Source organism: Homo sapiens, chromosome 12 (genome assembly GCF_000001405.40).
Source record: "Homo sapiens chromosome 12, GRCh38.p14 Primary Assembly".
Taxonomy (NCBI): Eukaryota; Metazoa; Chordata; class Mammalia; order Primates; family Hominidae; genus Homo; species Homo sapiens.
This window is the reverse complement of record NC_000012.12, coordinates 75,842,984-75,860,068: the sequence shown is the minus strand read 5'-3', so window position 1 is coordinate 75,860,068 and position 17,085 is coordinate 75,842,984.

Below are 17,085 nucleotides of genomic sequence, written 5' to 3'. Positions count from 1 at the left end.
AGTTTTTTGACTGGGCAGCCTTCTCATTGTGGTCCTTTGGCTTGGCATTTGGTTATGGCTCTCCTTCTAGGGCAGGGCACTCATCTAGGCCACACTCTGCCAACTTGGATTTAGCCTATCGGCCTCTTTGTCCCTTTCCTGGCTTCCTCATATTTCAGCTCCCTCCCTAGGTAAATGGCCTTGTGGAGTCACAGTACCTAACAAACTCTTTACCAGCATTTGATTGGCTTGATAGCCAAATAATTTCTTCTTTATTTTTAGCTGAGATCTCCTACAGATCAGCTGAGATTACATTTGTCCTAATGTAAACCATTATCCCCATCTCTGGTCCAGTATCCTCATAGGGCCAATTTTCCATTCCTTTAATCTTCCACTCATCTCTAACTTTCACTCTGTTTTATTAATTGAATTAATTAGTATAAAATACTTTGAACAGAACCTGACATAAACATATGCAGGTGGTATTATTATTTTCTTCACATCCTTTTAATAGTATTTTAATAACCTACTTCTGCATTAATGCCTTTTTAACACTGATTCAGTTTCAGATTAGACATTTATGAGTATTTGCTATGTACACAGGTACAGTGCTTGTTGGTTCATGAGTAGTATAGCATTTAATTCTCACAATGGGCTAATATTACACACAGATACATATACTTTTTGAAAACAGATGAAGGTACTAAGGCTCCCAGGGTATAAAGAAACTTACTCACGGTCACACAGACAGCAAGCGTGGACCCAGGATTGGAACCTGACTCCTTTGATGCCATGTCCCCAGTTTTTCAGTAGACCTTGGTGTCTCTCTTCCGTAAAGGATTGTTTAGAAAGGGTTGCTGTTTACAGATTGTAAGTAAAAGGACTAGTGCTATGGTTTTTAGACTTTTAAAAATATCATAAAACCTTTTATTTAAGTGAAATCTTGTGAAGAAGCCAAAATGTAAAACAGCTAATACAAAGCTGCTTGAAGCAGGTGAAGGGTGTCTGCAATTATCTCTATTACTTCCCTAATTCCCCACCCTATGGTCCCTCAAGGCCTGCTGAGGAACACAGTTCCACAACACTGAATTAGTGTAATCATGAATATGCATCCATTTAATTCAAATGGCTCTAAAAGGGCATGCCGTGAGAGACTACCATCCTTGCCTGGTCAGCCAGCACCAAATTCTTCTCCCTGGAAGCAATGAGACAGTGCTTCTGCATTCTTCTTATTTCTTATGTGTCTATAAGCAGAAGCATTTAGGTGTCCTCTTTAAAGAAACCTCTTTTTGGTGAACAAATTGATTTAATTTGCATTTATGATTTTCTTCACTTTCCTAAACATCCTTTGGAATCCCAAAGATCAAACCAACATTTTGTTAAGGTGATTTGAAAGGCGGGCCAAAAAAAAAAAAAAAAAGGCGGTGCCTATGCATGGGGTGACTAGCCAGCCCAGTTTGTCTGGGACACTGGATTTTCACTGCTAAAACTGTGTCAGCCCCAGGCAAACTGGGATGGTTTATCACAAACCCCTGAGGTCACAAAAATCGGCCTTTAAGGACCACTAACCAGGGTCCCACAAAACCACTACTCCCATGACCTGGGCCACTTGGTTCCTGGTCTTGTTGATCAGGTGAATTGCAGGTTGTTTTGAGTCTAGTTAACACTATTCCTTTACTCGTGGCCCTGAACTTGAAAATCAATATCAAAGGTAAGCCATTTCAAAGAGATTAAAAAACAACATCTTTTTGTGTTTAAGGCATAGTTAGGATATGGGCACTATCTTTCTCTTTTTCCCTCTTATTCTTTTTTTTTTTTTTTAAACAGGGTCTCACTCTGCAACCTCTGCCTCCTGGGCTCAAGCGATCCTCCCACCTCAGCCTCCCAAGTAGCTGGGACTACAGGCATGTACCACCACACCTGGTTAATTTTTGTATTTTTTGTAGAGATGGAGTTTTGCCATGTTGCCCAGGCTGGTCTCAAACTCCTGAGCTCATGCGATCCACCCACCTTGGCCTCCTAAAGTGCTGGGTCTTATTCTTAAGGTATTTTTAAGGCAAACTAATAAATAAAGATATTTTAAGGTTACCTGTAGATAAGTATTTTTTATTTTCTATGGATTTCATTTATCCTTTATCATTTTTTAGTATTGGGCATAAATGAGACTTAACCAAAAAAACAAAAAACAAACAAACAAAAAAAACCACACACACACACATGGAAACAAAAACACTCTCTTAGTTGCAAAATACAGTAAGCTATATTGCCTGGCAGTGTGATCACAGGGAAAAAACAGGCCAGGCACAGTGGCTCATACCTATAATCCCAACATTTTGGGAGGCTGAGGCGGAGGATAGCTTGAGGCCAGGAGTTTGAGACCAGCCTGGGCATCATAGCAAGACCTCATCTCTACAAAACAAAGATTTAAAAATTAGCCAGGCGTGGTGGTGTGCACCTGTAGTCCCAGCTGCTTGGGAGGCTGAGGTGGGAGGATCAATTAAGTGCAGGACTGAGCGAGATTCCGTCTCAAAAAAAAAAAAAAAGAAAAGAAAAAACAAAGGCCTTGAGCTGCTTACAGACTGTAAGACATTGGAAAGGCCCCTTAAACTCTCAGAGCCCAAGTTTCCTCATTGGCTCAGTGGAGATAATTACACCTAACAGGATTAGCATGAAATGTCAAAGTGCTTAGAAAATTTCATTTGCTCGATAAATGTTCGTTTTCTTTTCTACCTGGAATGGTCAGAGTTCTGTTTAATCAAATATTCTCATAATATAAAGTTAGCAATAAAGTATATTTACCATTAAAAATGAACCCAATAACATGCAGGCATAAAGGAACTTTCTGGGTGATAGAAATAGTCTATATTTTTATCTGGATGGTGGTAACATGGGTGTTTACATATGTAAATATTCATCAAGCTGTGTACTTAATAGTTATATATCTTACTGTATGTAAGTTATTCTTCACCTAAGAAAAGTACTTTGAACATAAAAGTCTTCTAAAATTGATTTATATACTTTTTTAAGGGTGAAGGGGGCTCATGGAACTCTATTGCTAATCTATTGCCCTACTTTTAGTAGGGCAGAAATACCATTTATTAGAGTGTTAGTGATTAAAATGTTAGCTAAGCCTGATATTATGATTCATACTATTATATATAGATATGTGTGTGGGTATATATATATATGTATATGTATATATAAATGTTTACAGAATGATGGGTTTCGCTGTGTTCTGTGTGCAATGGGGAGAAATGACACTCACTCCAGGTCTAAGTCAGTTGCATTTTGTATTCTCCATGGAATACGTGGCAAAATTGTGCTTTTTTTTGGTTTTGCTATTTGGCTTTCCAGGGAGCCTCAGCTAACCAAACTTTTGTGATAGCGTATTTATTATCTAATGTTTGAATTTGAGGAAAGGAGCCAGAGTCTGTACTCCATGTAGCAACGGCCTCATCAATGATTTTAGAAAATGGATTTGTAAAAAGGCTTTGGGCACTGGGCCTACACAGAACTCACTCATAGACCCCTGGTGATATCATTTAGCACAAAGCAATTGGCTTGAAAAAGAGAAAAACACTGGGATTTCGAAACTAATTTTTACATCATGCCATTTATTACAGTCTGTCTCTCTTTTTCTGGCATCCTGGGTTTAAGGAAATAATGTTATCATCTATTTCCAGAAATGGTTTGGATAACAACTTCTTGGAAACCCTTCACACACATTTGTATTTTGGTTTCTCTCCATTATTTCCCATTCAGACAGACTGGCCACAGGGGCACTGGAAGGCTCTCAGGCTCTGGAATACACCAGCACCCTACTTTCACATGCCCAGGACACATGTAGGATCATCTAAGAAGAACAGGGGGTAGTAAGAATGTGGAGGGGAATCTCTGGCCCAACTGTGGGAAAACATAGCTATTACCACCACCACCACCACCACCACCACCACCACCACCACCACCTCATGTGGAGAGGAGATTCAAGGGAGTGCCCAGGAACATTTCATGAGATACAATGTCTAAGTCCCTGGCTGATATTAGCAGGTTGTCTCAGAATGGTAGCTGGGCAGTAAGTCCAGAGAGCAAACATATTTCTTGGAGATACCCTCAGGAGAGTGGCCGTTCCTTCTCCCAGAGCAAAACATATCTCTCGGTATTACATCTTCTCGGAGATATGTTTCAGCCTGTTGAAAGGAGATTGATTATTCCTTATGGTAGAAAGTTTGCCAATGACTTTGTGATTACTGAAAATTTAAGCAAGGGGGAAAAATATAAGGAAAACAAAAAAGTTTATAAGAAAAGATATATAGTAACAGAAAACAACATGATGCAGCTGTGAATAAATGTCCTATCGTAATAATGTAATACTGAATATTGACTTAACTCAAAAAGTTATTTTGGGAGGATGAATGAAAAACCAAGTTGTATGCTTGTGTATGTGTGTATGTTGAATGATAAGAAAGCGAAGTCCTCATTTTTTATAGTAGACAGTCAATACATAACATCTAAATGGAAAAATCAAGAACTAGCAGTATCAGCATAATATTGAGAAATATGGAGTCAAGAAAGAGTTATGAGTATTGGAAGTAATTGCCCTCAGGATATAGGGATAGAATGTAACTGTGATCATTGAAATTAAGTTAAAAATTAACAAATTTCTCTTAAGTCATTTCAGCTAATTCAGTCATTAAAATTAAAGCCTTTCCTCAAGAAATTATAGTAAGCAGAAAAGTGCTTTTAGTGGGTTAGGCAGCCAGCAGGTAGGAATTTTCACTGAGAGTGGAAAATAGAGCCCAGAATTCTTTTACCAATAATTAAAACTGTTGATGCATAGGATTCTCACAAGGGACTCTGGTAAGAACAGGAAGGGCTGGAAAGAGACTTCAGCTGCACGTTCCTTTCCTTCCGGAGGCTGTTGAAACTTTGAATCTGCAAAAAAGTACTTGGCCAGCTTGAGAATATTAGTCAGGGTGCAAAATAGTGGCCAAAATATTTCATCTGTGGTTTTGGTTCATCAGCTGCTTCCATTAAACTATAGCCATGCCTTCCCTATTATAGAGTTTTCAGTAGTGGATTATAACTACCTCCACACATTTTCCTAAATTCCGGATTGTTGTAGTGATATCCCTGCCTATGCCTTTGGGCAATGCAGATTCATTCTTGCTCTATTCTATGACTTCCTCTTATCACAGGGCTAGTAGCCTGACTACATTTTCACAATTCTTTGCCAATAGTGGTCCCACGTAGATTCTGTCACTAGAAGGCACTTGTGAGAGATCTGGACCCAGAAGAGGAGCAAAATGATACACATTTTTTCCTCCAGCAGTAGAGGGTAGATGTAAAGGCTTTATGGGATGTGAGGTTTTGTAGCAATCTCTAGGTAACCCCCTGGAAATCATTTGCTGTGGTGCGGCAGGCAGCTGGAATCACTGGTGGTAGTGATTTGTGATTCATTCAGCTTCTTGATTCTCAGAAAACAGTGGCAAACTTGAGCACTAGTGATGGTTTCCCCTAAACCTTCGATTCATAAAGACCCGGGTTTGAATCTTGACTCTTATATTAACTATGCAACTCTGAGCTAGGTATTTTAATCTTCTATTAATTTTTTCAACTGTGCAATAAGGATAACACCATTATCATATAGGTTATGCGGAAAAAATATGATTATACATGTAAAAATACCCAGTGAAAGAGCTGTTCTCACAGTAGGCATTCGACAAATGGTAGCTATTGTTATTTATTTATTTATTTATTTATTTATTTATTTTGAGACAGAGTTTCACTCTTGTTGCCCAGGCTGGAGTACAATGGCTGGATCACAGCTCACCGCAACCTCTGCCTCCCAGGTTCAAGCGATTCTTCTGCCTCAGCCTCCCAAGTAGCTGGGATTACAGGCATGCACCACCATGTCGGGCTAATTTTTGTATTTTTAGTAGAGACTGGGTTTCTCCATGTTGGTCAGGCTGGTCTCCAACTCCCAACCTCAGGTGATTTGCCCACCTCTGTCTCCCAAAGTGCTGGGAATACAGGCGTGAGCCACCACACCCGGCTCTATTGTTATTTTTGTCCTTTGTTTGCCACCTGCTGCTGTTGTTATTTATGCTGTAGCTGCTGTGCAATTGCTAGGCAGGAAACCCATGTGCCGGGTGCTGGACTGAGCAGCTGGGATTACTCTCCCACTCTCTCTTCCATTGGCTTTTCCTTTTACAGCGGGGAAATGCCCACAACCTCCCTTCTGTCTACTTCAGAGCAGAAGCCTGAGTCTGCCAGACACCCAGACTTGTCTGGCTATAGGAAAGCAGGACTGATCAAATCAGCTGTGATCTTGGCACATGTGTTTTGGTTTTCTTGTGTTTTTACTAGTTTGCTTCTTTCAATAACCCAGGGGTAAAAATAGCCTTTTTCTCCAAGCAGCAAGATAACATTTGATGGAGATCTCTGGTTCTGCTTTTTTAGGGGCCAGTCACTCCTTCCTACTTCCTGAAGTTTCCATGCTTGAGCAGGTTCATTCTTATACCTCCGAGGGCTTTCACAACAAACTTCGTTGCAAGGCAAAACCCCATCTAGGCAAAGTTGTAGAGTTTGGGTATTTTGGGGCTTGGGTATTTCTTTCCTAGCCCCCCTTTTATATGTGAAACACAAATGTTCCAGCTGATAAGCCCTGTAAGTGATTTTTCCCCTCATTGATTTAAAAAATTGTACCCTGTCTCTATATGGCACATGGTCAAGCACTTTAAAGTATATAATTAATTAAAGCATTTACTGAAACTGACATGCAGGCAAAATAAATGCAAATGAAGTAGGGAATCTATAGAAATAGCCCAGGAACAGCCATCTCTGCATAGACTGACTGATAGGATACCCTGAATGCTAAGTAACTGGGGTCCTTGTAGATCAGGGAGGTAGCGAGTCCAGACATGGAGGTTGCCACACTTAGTATGCAGTTTCTGGTTTCTTCTTGCTTAAACATGTTCCTATAGAAACTTCTGGTCTCTCCCAAAAAGATGGGAGAATAGGGATGGAGAAAACAAAAATGAATGTATAGAGTGAACAGTTGTGATATCACTGCTCTATTCAATTTCCCCGCTATTTCTAGTTTCTTCTCTTTTTGTACTGAATTGCTAAGGACCTCACGTAGGAACTAGGGGAAGACAAGGTGCTGTGGGAGGAAAGCACCCTGAGTGTCCAGGTCTCTTCTCTCTCCTTCATTAGAGACCCTAAAACTAGGATGATGGCATGTGATGCTGTAATAAACAGAATCTGCTTTCTCTCCTGCACACCTGGGTTTGAATTCTGGCTCTGCCATTACTAGCTGTGTGGCTTTGGGCAAGTTACTTAACCTCTGTGTGTCTCAGTGCTCTTGCTTTTAAAATGTAGATGATAATAGTACCTACCTCATAGGGTTGTTGTGAGGATTAATTAAGATGAGGCAAGCAGAGATTTAACACTGTGACAGTGGCATGTAAGTTATGATGTTTATATTCTCCTCTCAAATAAGCTAAGCAGCTCCACCAGAATCTTAATTTCCTGCACTTGTTTCTCAAAATCTCCCCTTAATTTGCCTGAGATGTCAAAGGCGGGTTCTTTGGCTGGGTCATATGAAAACCCTCCTCTGATTAGGGAGAGATGTAATCTTTATAGAAATGAGAGTCCCAGTGGCAGAGAGTACCCTGCAATTATTTGAGCTAGCTACTCGCATCCTGGCAGCACAGTCTTTCTGGAAGAGAATCATGTGAGTCACAGAGGGAATGAGACCATCTCACTGTGTTACTGAACCATGACCAATGGCTTGCCAATCACAAGAATGGTTCTCTGTCTTTGTTCAATACAAGTTTTTACCTGCTTTATTATTCTGACTCGGGCTTGTCTTTAATTCTTTCATCTGGAAAAATCTCTGACAAGAGGAAATATTAAGCTGCTCCCTTAGTTGGTATGAGGTTAATTCTACCAGACTCAGACTATTTTGCTGTAATTGTCTGTGCGTGAGGCAGTGCCCATTGGTATTTTTGCATCTGTACTTCAATTATTTTTCAGATCTTCCTTCGTTACCTTTCATCACCTTCTTTTATGAAAAGTACAGATGCTAGAATTCAAAAGAGCTCAGCCAGGTGTTGGTGAATCGAATCAATGCTTTTGGAATGATCAATTCATTGCTTTTTGGAATTTTAGGTTCCAACTAAAATTCTTCCATTGGCTATTCACATATCCTCTTTCAACCTCCTTTTTCTTATATGTTAAATGGGAATAATAAACACTCATCTAATTGTCTTTGTCTCTCTGGATTCATTTATTACCATTACTCATCTTCTTCCCCAGTCCTCTTCATGTAGTACACATGTATCTGGATAAGTGGAAATTTTTGTAGTCCTGGATCATTTCAGGGTTGCTGTGGAGTTTATATCAGATCAAAAATATGAAGACACTTATTACTGTGTCTGGCATAGTACGGATATTTCTCGGATCTCTATATATAAATTCCAAAGCCTGCTATAGGTCACAGAACACAGAAGCTTTAGAAGACTTGTGGTAGAGTCCCAGCTCCATCACTTAGTAGCTATGACACTTTGAGCACGTACATCATTTGCTTCCCCAAACTTCAGTTTTTCATTGATAACATGATAAAAAAAAATTGCCCTGGGTTATTAGATCAAATGTATGCAAAAGTGCTTTCTAAACAGTAAAGGATAATACAAATGTAAGGTGCTGTATAGGTACTTGTAACAATTTACTCCATGGCTTCAGGACACTCATCTAAACATTAATAAAACAGGAGCACTCTAGACCTTGCTTTACAATCAAAGCAAAACACACACAAGCCTGTATACACAGCTGTAAAATGCACTCAGTGCTTCCAGACTTGTGTTGGGGAAAAGGTGGATGTGGCATCCCAGCAGGTAGGAGCGTGGGCTGGTTTACTCCATTAGTGCCCTGGGGCCAAGAGCTGACAGTGAAAAGCTAAGAGAGGAGTCGAGGTTGGCCCCAGTATCAGCCAGAGAGGAGAGGCTGGTTAAGTGCCTGTCCTGGACGTCCTTCCCTGTTGCCTAACTTAAAAGGGGTTAAGTACTCAAATTACTCAAATGTGTTCCCTAAGTCTCATCTCATTGCAGTGGGGGGAGTGGTTGGTAGATGGGAGGTCTGCTGCTGTTGTTTGTCATTCTCTTCTTCCTCTAATCCAGGGAAATTGGAGAGGGAGAGTGGAAGGTAGTATGAATCATCTGTTAGAGATACTTACTTCCCCAGGGCTTGCTTCCCTATGCATAGGGGAGACAACTCCAAAGTCATGAACTCTGGAGAAAAAAAGTGAATCATCATCATCCTCTCAGGCGTCAGATTTATTTGGCTTCTTTTTCTAGCCTATGGTTTGGAGGCCTGATGTCAGCACAGGATTTCAGAGAGAGAGAGAGAAAAAAAAAGAGAGAGAGAGGAAGAGAGAGAAAGGATACATAGTAGAGAACGTGGTATGCTAAGAAGTGTACATGGCCAGGGAGGTTAGATGTCTTAGTGGTAAGAAGAATCTCTGAAAGGATCTGATGGTTGAGGCAAGGCCCATAAGCCTTGTGTGGTTCCAGATGAAACAGCTGAGTGTCATTGATTAGTGTAAGAAATTGGGTTTAAAAAAGTTACTCGATTAGCTGGGTGTGTTGGCACACGTACTTGTTCCCAGGTACTCAGGAGGCTGAGGCAGGAGAATCACTTGAACTCGAGAGGCGGAGGTTGCAGTGAGCCAAGAACGTGCCATTGTACTCCAGCCTGGGCGACAAAAGTGAAACTCTGTCTCAAAAAAAAAAAAAACACAAGAAACCAAAAACAACAACAAAAAAACCAATGAACAAAGTCTATTAAATTTGAAATTGTGTAGATGTTTTAAGTGGGGGATAGTTTCTGAAAAGTAGGAGGTCAGTGGCTATTAGTTTGCTTGAGCTGTCATAACAAAATACCACAGACTGGGTGGCTTAAACAAGAGAAATTTATTTCCTCTCAGTTCTGGAGGCTAGGTGTCTAAGATTAAGGTGTCGGCAGGGTTGGTTTCTTCTGAAGTCTCTCTCCTTGGCTTGTAGATGGCTGTCTTCACCCTATGTCTTTATATTGTCTTCTCGTACGTCTGTGTCTAATCATCTGGCCTTACAAAAACACCAGTCATACTGAATTTGGAATCATTCTAATGACCTCATTTAACCTTAACTACCTCTTTAAAGACCATATCTCAAAATACAGTCACATTTTGAGGTTCTAGAGATTAGGACTTAAACACATGAATTTTAAGGGAACACAATTTAGCCCATAACAACTATGGAACCATATCTACTACATAATATACCCTCAAAAAAAGATTTTTGAATGTCTTTTGCCTCAGCCAAGATGTTTCCTATATATTCTGCTCAGTCAGGAATCAACCCCAGGCTCTGGTGAGAGGGCCTAAACAGACCCTGCCACAGGGCAACAGTGTTGTTTCAATCTTTACTGATCCCGTAACCGTACACCAAAATGAGCCTGGATGGGGAAGATCCTATAATTGCAAGGAGGGCACTCCTAGTCCTATTTCAATAGTTCAGAAAACTGGAACTCAGAGACGTGAAGTGACATCTCCTAGGTCACACAACCAATGCATGTCAAAACTGGGAATTACGTGTGAGAATTTCAAGCACCTGGAATTGTCTTCCCATTAGGTCGGAGCTAATGAAGTTTAACAGAGCTTGAGCTTTGAAGGAATGAGTGTGTACTAGTTCTCAGAGAAGACTTGCAGCATGCAATGAGAAAAGAGGTCATTCCAGGTGAGTGAAGGAACATGAGCAAAGCAGAATCAGGAATTGTAAAAGGGGCTCTTTATTTTAAGCTACTGTCCACTCTCCAGTATGTACAATGGCATATATTACCATTGACATTGAAGTTAGGTTGACAGTGCCTCTCTAAATAATCCAGGAAATAATGAGGCATCTCAGATGTGTCATCAATTTATTTACTGGCTCATTGGGAAAGACATTACATTATTCATTAGCTGCTTTATATTTGCAAAATGGTTTGCCATAATTTTGATTTGATTTCTCCCTAGCAAGCTAGCTCAGCGTGGTCACTGCAAGTTGCTCAGCTCACTAAGGAAACATTTAAAGATATAAAGACATTAAATTGGCCAAAACCTGCTAAGAGCAAGAGCTAGGATTAAGAATTGGAAACTTCAGAGACCTCCTCTGTTTTGCCTCTGGGGCCGGCTTTTTCCATAAACAGGCTTCTGGGAAGCAGCATGATGAGGGGATTCCATGAAGAGCATGGCATTTTCTATAACCATTTATTGAAAATGCAAGTCATCAAATTAGAAGAAAGGCATACCAGGGAAGCAGAGAGGCCCACACTCTGGGCCAGGGTTTTAGAGCAAGGGTCCTGGACTGGGTTCTGTGTAACACATTTGTATTGACGACCATGAAAGGATTCAGCGTCTTGAATGAGACAGCTGCTTGTACAGAGGCGTTTTTTATGAGCTGACAAGTTAGCCAGAAACAAAGCATGTTTGTAGGAAGTAAATCGTTGCCAGTTTTAATCTGAGCTTTTCATTCAGCTGTAGCTGGAGACAATTGAGTTTTTAATGTTCTGCATGAAGTTCCTTGATTCGGATTTTGGTCAGAATGAGGCCCGGGGTTTGGTTTGGCTTTAGGTGTTCCATTTGCAAAATGTCACCAATATCAATGAAAACAAAAGCTATGCTGGTTGTTTTCATTTCCTGCTGATCATAACTTTTCCAGGGGACAGGGTCTGGACAAACAAAGCTGCCTCCTTGAAGGATGTTTATGTTTCTAGCTCCAAGACTGAGATTAAAGAGGGTAAACAGTTGACATGTTATGATGTGAAAATGATTTAAAGTCCACACTAAGATGAGAATTAAACTGAGATCCTCACTGGGGTCTTGAGGAGTCAGAGGAAGTTGCTTTGAGGCACATCAATGAGAGTGAAGAATTGCTTCTTTGATTGGGTTTCTTCAGGAGAGATGTTTCTCCTAAGAAAAATTTCCAGATAGCTGAAAAAAAAAATCTCTTTTAAAAACACTAAAAAAAAAGTGTGTTTGTGGAAAATTATTTAAAAATGCATTATATAGTTTCCTGCCTTATCAACAAGAGTGTAGACCACAATATGCCCTGTTCTTGATGACTCTGGGTAGTCATTACCTTCACCAGCTCAAAAGCAGTGACACCTGTGGGCCCTGTTGATGCCATCCTGCACCAGTTCCCTAGAGGAACCTGCAGGGTGAATGGATGATGGCTGGGTGCCACTGAGAATTTATATTTGTATTGTGGACCATGAATGGTATTCTTTCACTAGAACATTAAAAATAAAGGTAGTAACTAAGCATACCCAAATCTTGCTAAGAGAAAGATAACTAGATTTACTAAGCCAACTAAGTTAACATTTCAACTAATTACATGTTGATTGGGTTGGTTTGACCAGCAGTGCCTTCTCATAAGAGAGTTGTTCCTGAACCTCAGCCCTGTGGCCTGAAGTTTTTTACTGTTTGTCTCTTCATGTACATGTAAGCAGGGACCTTAAAAACTACCTCTGGGTTTGCATCATGTCAGTTACTGTAGCACAACTCAATCCTGTACAATTGGAACTCTAAAAACTAGAATTTTGCTCTTTTTAGACTACACTCCCTGATGATCATTCATCTCTTTTAAAACTGTATTCAGACTTCAGGCAATCTTCTTTGGGATTTCACCTTCGTAAGGATGCACCTTCTTAGAGATTCTGTCTTAGCCTCCTGAACAGACAGTCAGTAACCCCAGTGGCTGAGTTATTCTCTGGTCATGCTGAGGTCCAAACTACACTAAACAACACAGTTTACCTGTGGTCTACCTGGCCTGAATTGTCTTACCACTTTCCTAAAGGGAATGGATATTATCTCTACCTGCAGTTTTAGGTGGGAAAAGATTGGTTTTGTGGCTGAATACCACTAGAAAGACTCTCTTCCCTAGGAAAAAAAATTAATCTGAATTTATGGTCTTCCCAGGTATCCTAGTTTGAAATAGTCTTCTTTTAATCCTGAGGGACATGTTAAAAAATAATATGCTTTTGACTTATTTCAGACTATTGCTTTCCCAATAGTGAATCCTTCTGAAAAATTTTAACCCTAGGATGTCTCGCCTACTGGAAGACTCTGTGATACCTACTTTGCGTTATTTTCTGATTCTTAGCTGTTGTATATTTAAATTTCCTGGATAAGAGATCCCTGGATAAGAGAGAGACTATTCTTCATGATTTTAATTGACTTTATTCGGTTGTTTGCTACAGATTTATTAAATCAAAAGCCCTAAATCTAAGGCTGAATAATGGGCCCCACGTAAATCAGGCCTTAATCCCAGGAACCTGTAAATGATACCTTACAAGGAAAGAGGGCCTTTGCCAATGTGGTTAATTTAAAGATCTTGAGATGGGGAGATTATCCTGGATCATCTAGGTGGACCCTAAATGCAATCACAGGCATCCTTATGAAAGAGAGGCAGAGGAAGATTTGACATAGACAAAAGAGGAGAAGGCAACATGACCATAGAGGCCAAGCTTGAAAGATGTGGCCACAAGCCAAAGAATGCAGATAGCCACCAGAAGCTGGAGGAGGCAAGAAACAAATTCTCCCTTAGAGCTTCATGAAGGAGTATGGCTGTGTTGACACCTTGGTTTTGTCCCAGTGATCTGATTTCAGACTCTGGCCTCCACAACAATGAGAGAATACATTCCTATGTTTTTAAGTCACCAAGTTTGTGACCTAAAAAAATCATTTTAAGTTACATTTGTTACAGCAGCCATAGGGAACTAATACAAAGGGCTTATGAACTGCTCTTCAATTCCATGTTTAAAGTAATCATCTGCAATACATTCTTAAAATGCACCAAGTTTTGTGTTAGTCCATAAGGAAGGCAGAGAAGAAATAAAGGACGTGGTTTCTTCCCTCAAGGGCTTTATGGCCTCAATGGGGAGACAAGGTTCATGAGACAAGGGCAGGTGACACAGGGAAGTGTATCATTAAATGCTACATTACTTTTATAGGCTCATAAGAGCTGATGAGGTTCAGAGAAGAAGTTGATGAATTGGTAATATATAGGGAAGGATTATTGGAAGAGAAGGAACGTGGAATATTTCCAGGCAGAGAGAAGGAGGGTAAGCATTCCTGCAGAGAAGAATATGAGTGATGGCAGAAGTAGAACTGAACCTGGTATGCATTAATAGGGCAGGGACCATGATTGTGTCATTCACTATTGATCCCCATCACCTAGTGTAGTGTCTGGCACATAATATGTACTCTATAAATATTTAATGAATAAACAGATGTTGTCTTTGTAGGATATCACCATTCTAGCTGGCCTGCAGGAGCAGAGAACATACTTTAGGAATAATGGGGAATTAGTTTGGGTATGTAGGGCAGGACCCATGAAAACCAGGGAGAAGAAAGTCATCATTTTAAAGCACCAACATACTAGAGGTGGATTATTCCTTTAGAGGGTTTGAAAGGCATTTAAGGAACATGCCTCCATGACTCGCTCCCTTCCTTCCTTTTTTGTCCACTAGATCTCCAGTCTTCCTATGAAACTGGGTTGAAAAATACATAAAATTAACTTGACAATCTACTTGTGCCATCTGAATTTGCCTTAGTTTCATCTGGAAAGAGGAGGTATTGATGGGCTTTCAGAATCCAGGACAAGCGATCAGCCTGAGAGTCATGTCCCTCTTGTCATGGCTTCTGAAATCTACAGACTGTCTGTGGCTTTCTTTTGCCTCCCCTCTCTTCGCTGAGCCAAGCTGGACAAGAACTGGCAGCTTTACCAGGACAATTGGATACATTCGGGCTTTATTTTCTTGGCACACTGAAGACATTAACCAGCTTCCAAATGATAAGAAACGGGAATTTTTAGTACCAAATCCAAGTTCCTTCTCACAGAAGGGGTGTTTCCATTGTTTGAAAAGAGGGGTGCTAGCTGCTGAGTGACATGTTCTTTATCCATGATGACAGTCCCTGTTGGCACATCACAAGCGTTGTTTCAATAATAAAATTATCCTAGCTGCCAGCGGGGCCAGCTTCTTTACAAAATGAAGTAACAATAGCATGTTTCATACGATTGTCACTTCTTGTTGATCAATTAATTCTAAATAGTACTTAACAAAGATTTTTAATAAAAAAATGCATACTGAAACCAACACAATGAAACAAACCTTTGTTATGTTAGTTTGCACCCTCTTTCATGCTACTTCAAATCTCTTTCTGTTGATCATTAGGCTATCTTTCCTGTTAGCCAACAAAAATACTCAGTTCTTTCTAATCCTAAAACAAACAAAAAGCCTTTCCCCCGATTCTACCATTCTACCTTCTCATTTTTTCATTGCTAAACTTAATGGAGACATAGTGAATTCAGCAGGTCTCAGACTGGCAGGCAGTGAGCTAGATTATGCCTGAAAACCTGTTTTGTTGGCCTATGTCATGTTTTCTTTCCAATGTTTAAAATTTGGGAGATTTGCATAAAAATCTAAATTTCTCTTTCTCTTGACACATTGGGGAACTGGTAACACTGGGCCCACATTCTCACACGACGACAGTCTGTTGGAGCTGAGTTTCTGCATCTGCCTTCAGATGGGGCATACGTTCTCTAGCTCACCACAGGCCCCACCATTCCATATTGTCTTCGACGCTGAGACAAAGTGTCAGTTGCCATTTATCATTGCCTTGCACCCTTGTTTTTCTTAGATACAGAAGTATTTCACCGTACTGATGCTTCTGTCAAATGTGGGAAGTAAAAGACCCAGAGTGCTGCATGATCGTCTTGCACTCAGCCTGCTTTATCCTTGCGTGTTATCTATCTGGCCCCATCTGGGTTTGCAACCCCTGACCTGTATTACACTTCTGTCGGTTTCCAGCATTCTTCATCTCCTTGTTAGCTGGCTTTTTCCTTTTCATCTACCATGACCTGTCTTAAGAGTCACTTCTCATTTAATAGATTAGATGGCCTTTTGTCAGTTCTCTTTCTCAAAGCCTTCCCTGCCTGCATTTCCCCCCTCACTTTCCCTTCATCTTAAGATACCTTTCTTCTTTGCTTCATTTCTACCACCTGGCATTTTCTGATTCCCCTTCTTCTCCTCACGTCTTATACTGTGTTTCTCCATATTTTATCTTGATATACTTGGTCTTGGAAATTTTCTTCATGTCATGGTTTTCATGATTTCCTCTATGTGGATGACTTCTAATTCCATCATTTTTCCCCTGACCTCTCTCCTGACCTCATCCTATAGAACAGCTCCATGAGGCTCCTGCTAGCCCCTGAATCTCTTCTCCTAGACCCCTACCACACACTTTTCTCACATCATTGTCCTTTCTGTTGCTCCAGAGCATGACATTATTCCATGTCTGATCACTCTCCATGTTTGTTCTTTCTTTTCTCTCTCATTGTCCTATTCAGGCCTTTGTTACCTGGTTTTGTTTTTTTTGTTGCTGTTGTTTGTTTTTTAAAAAATCTGTTGGTTTCATTTCTTCAATATCTCTCTCCTTCAATCTATTATTATGCTGATGCTTGATTAATTTACCCTAAAAATTCTTTGATTGATTCACTTAGTAATTCATTCATTAATCTTATAATGCCCGTACAATTTATCATTTTTTTCTCCTCTTAAAAAGTCATCAGTGACTCTGCATTGCTAACAGAATGAAAGTCACAGTCCTTATATTGGCCTTGAAGGCCTTTGCCATCCAACCTCAGCCTGTCTTTCTGGTCTCATCTCCTGCTCCCAGGTATAAATCTTTGCTCCTTGAATAAGTGTCTGGGAGGGCTTAAGTGTAAAGCCCTAGAGTCTGCCTTGATTGGGTCTCAGCTCTGGCACATGTGGCTGTGTGACCTTGTGCAAGTCATGTAACTTCTAAGGCTCAGTTTCTTTATCTGTTTAGCCCATAGGGTTATTTGAAGACCAAAAACATAATAAGCCATGTAATATAAAGCCTGGTGCATATATTACTCCAGGAATTATATTAAATGAGAGTTCGATAAGTATTAGATAGTCTCATCCAGCCAACCCATAGTTTGCCTGCCATACATTCTTATGTAAAAAAAGCTAGACAGAGGCAGACGTTCTAAGACCAAG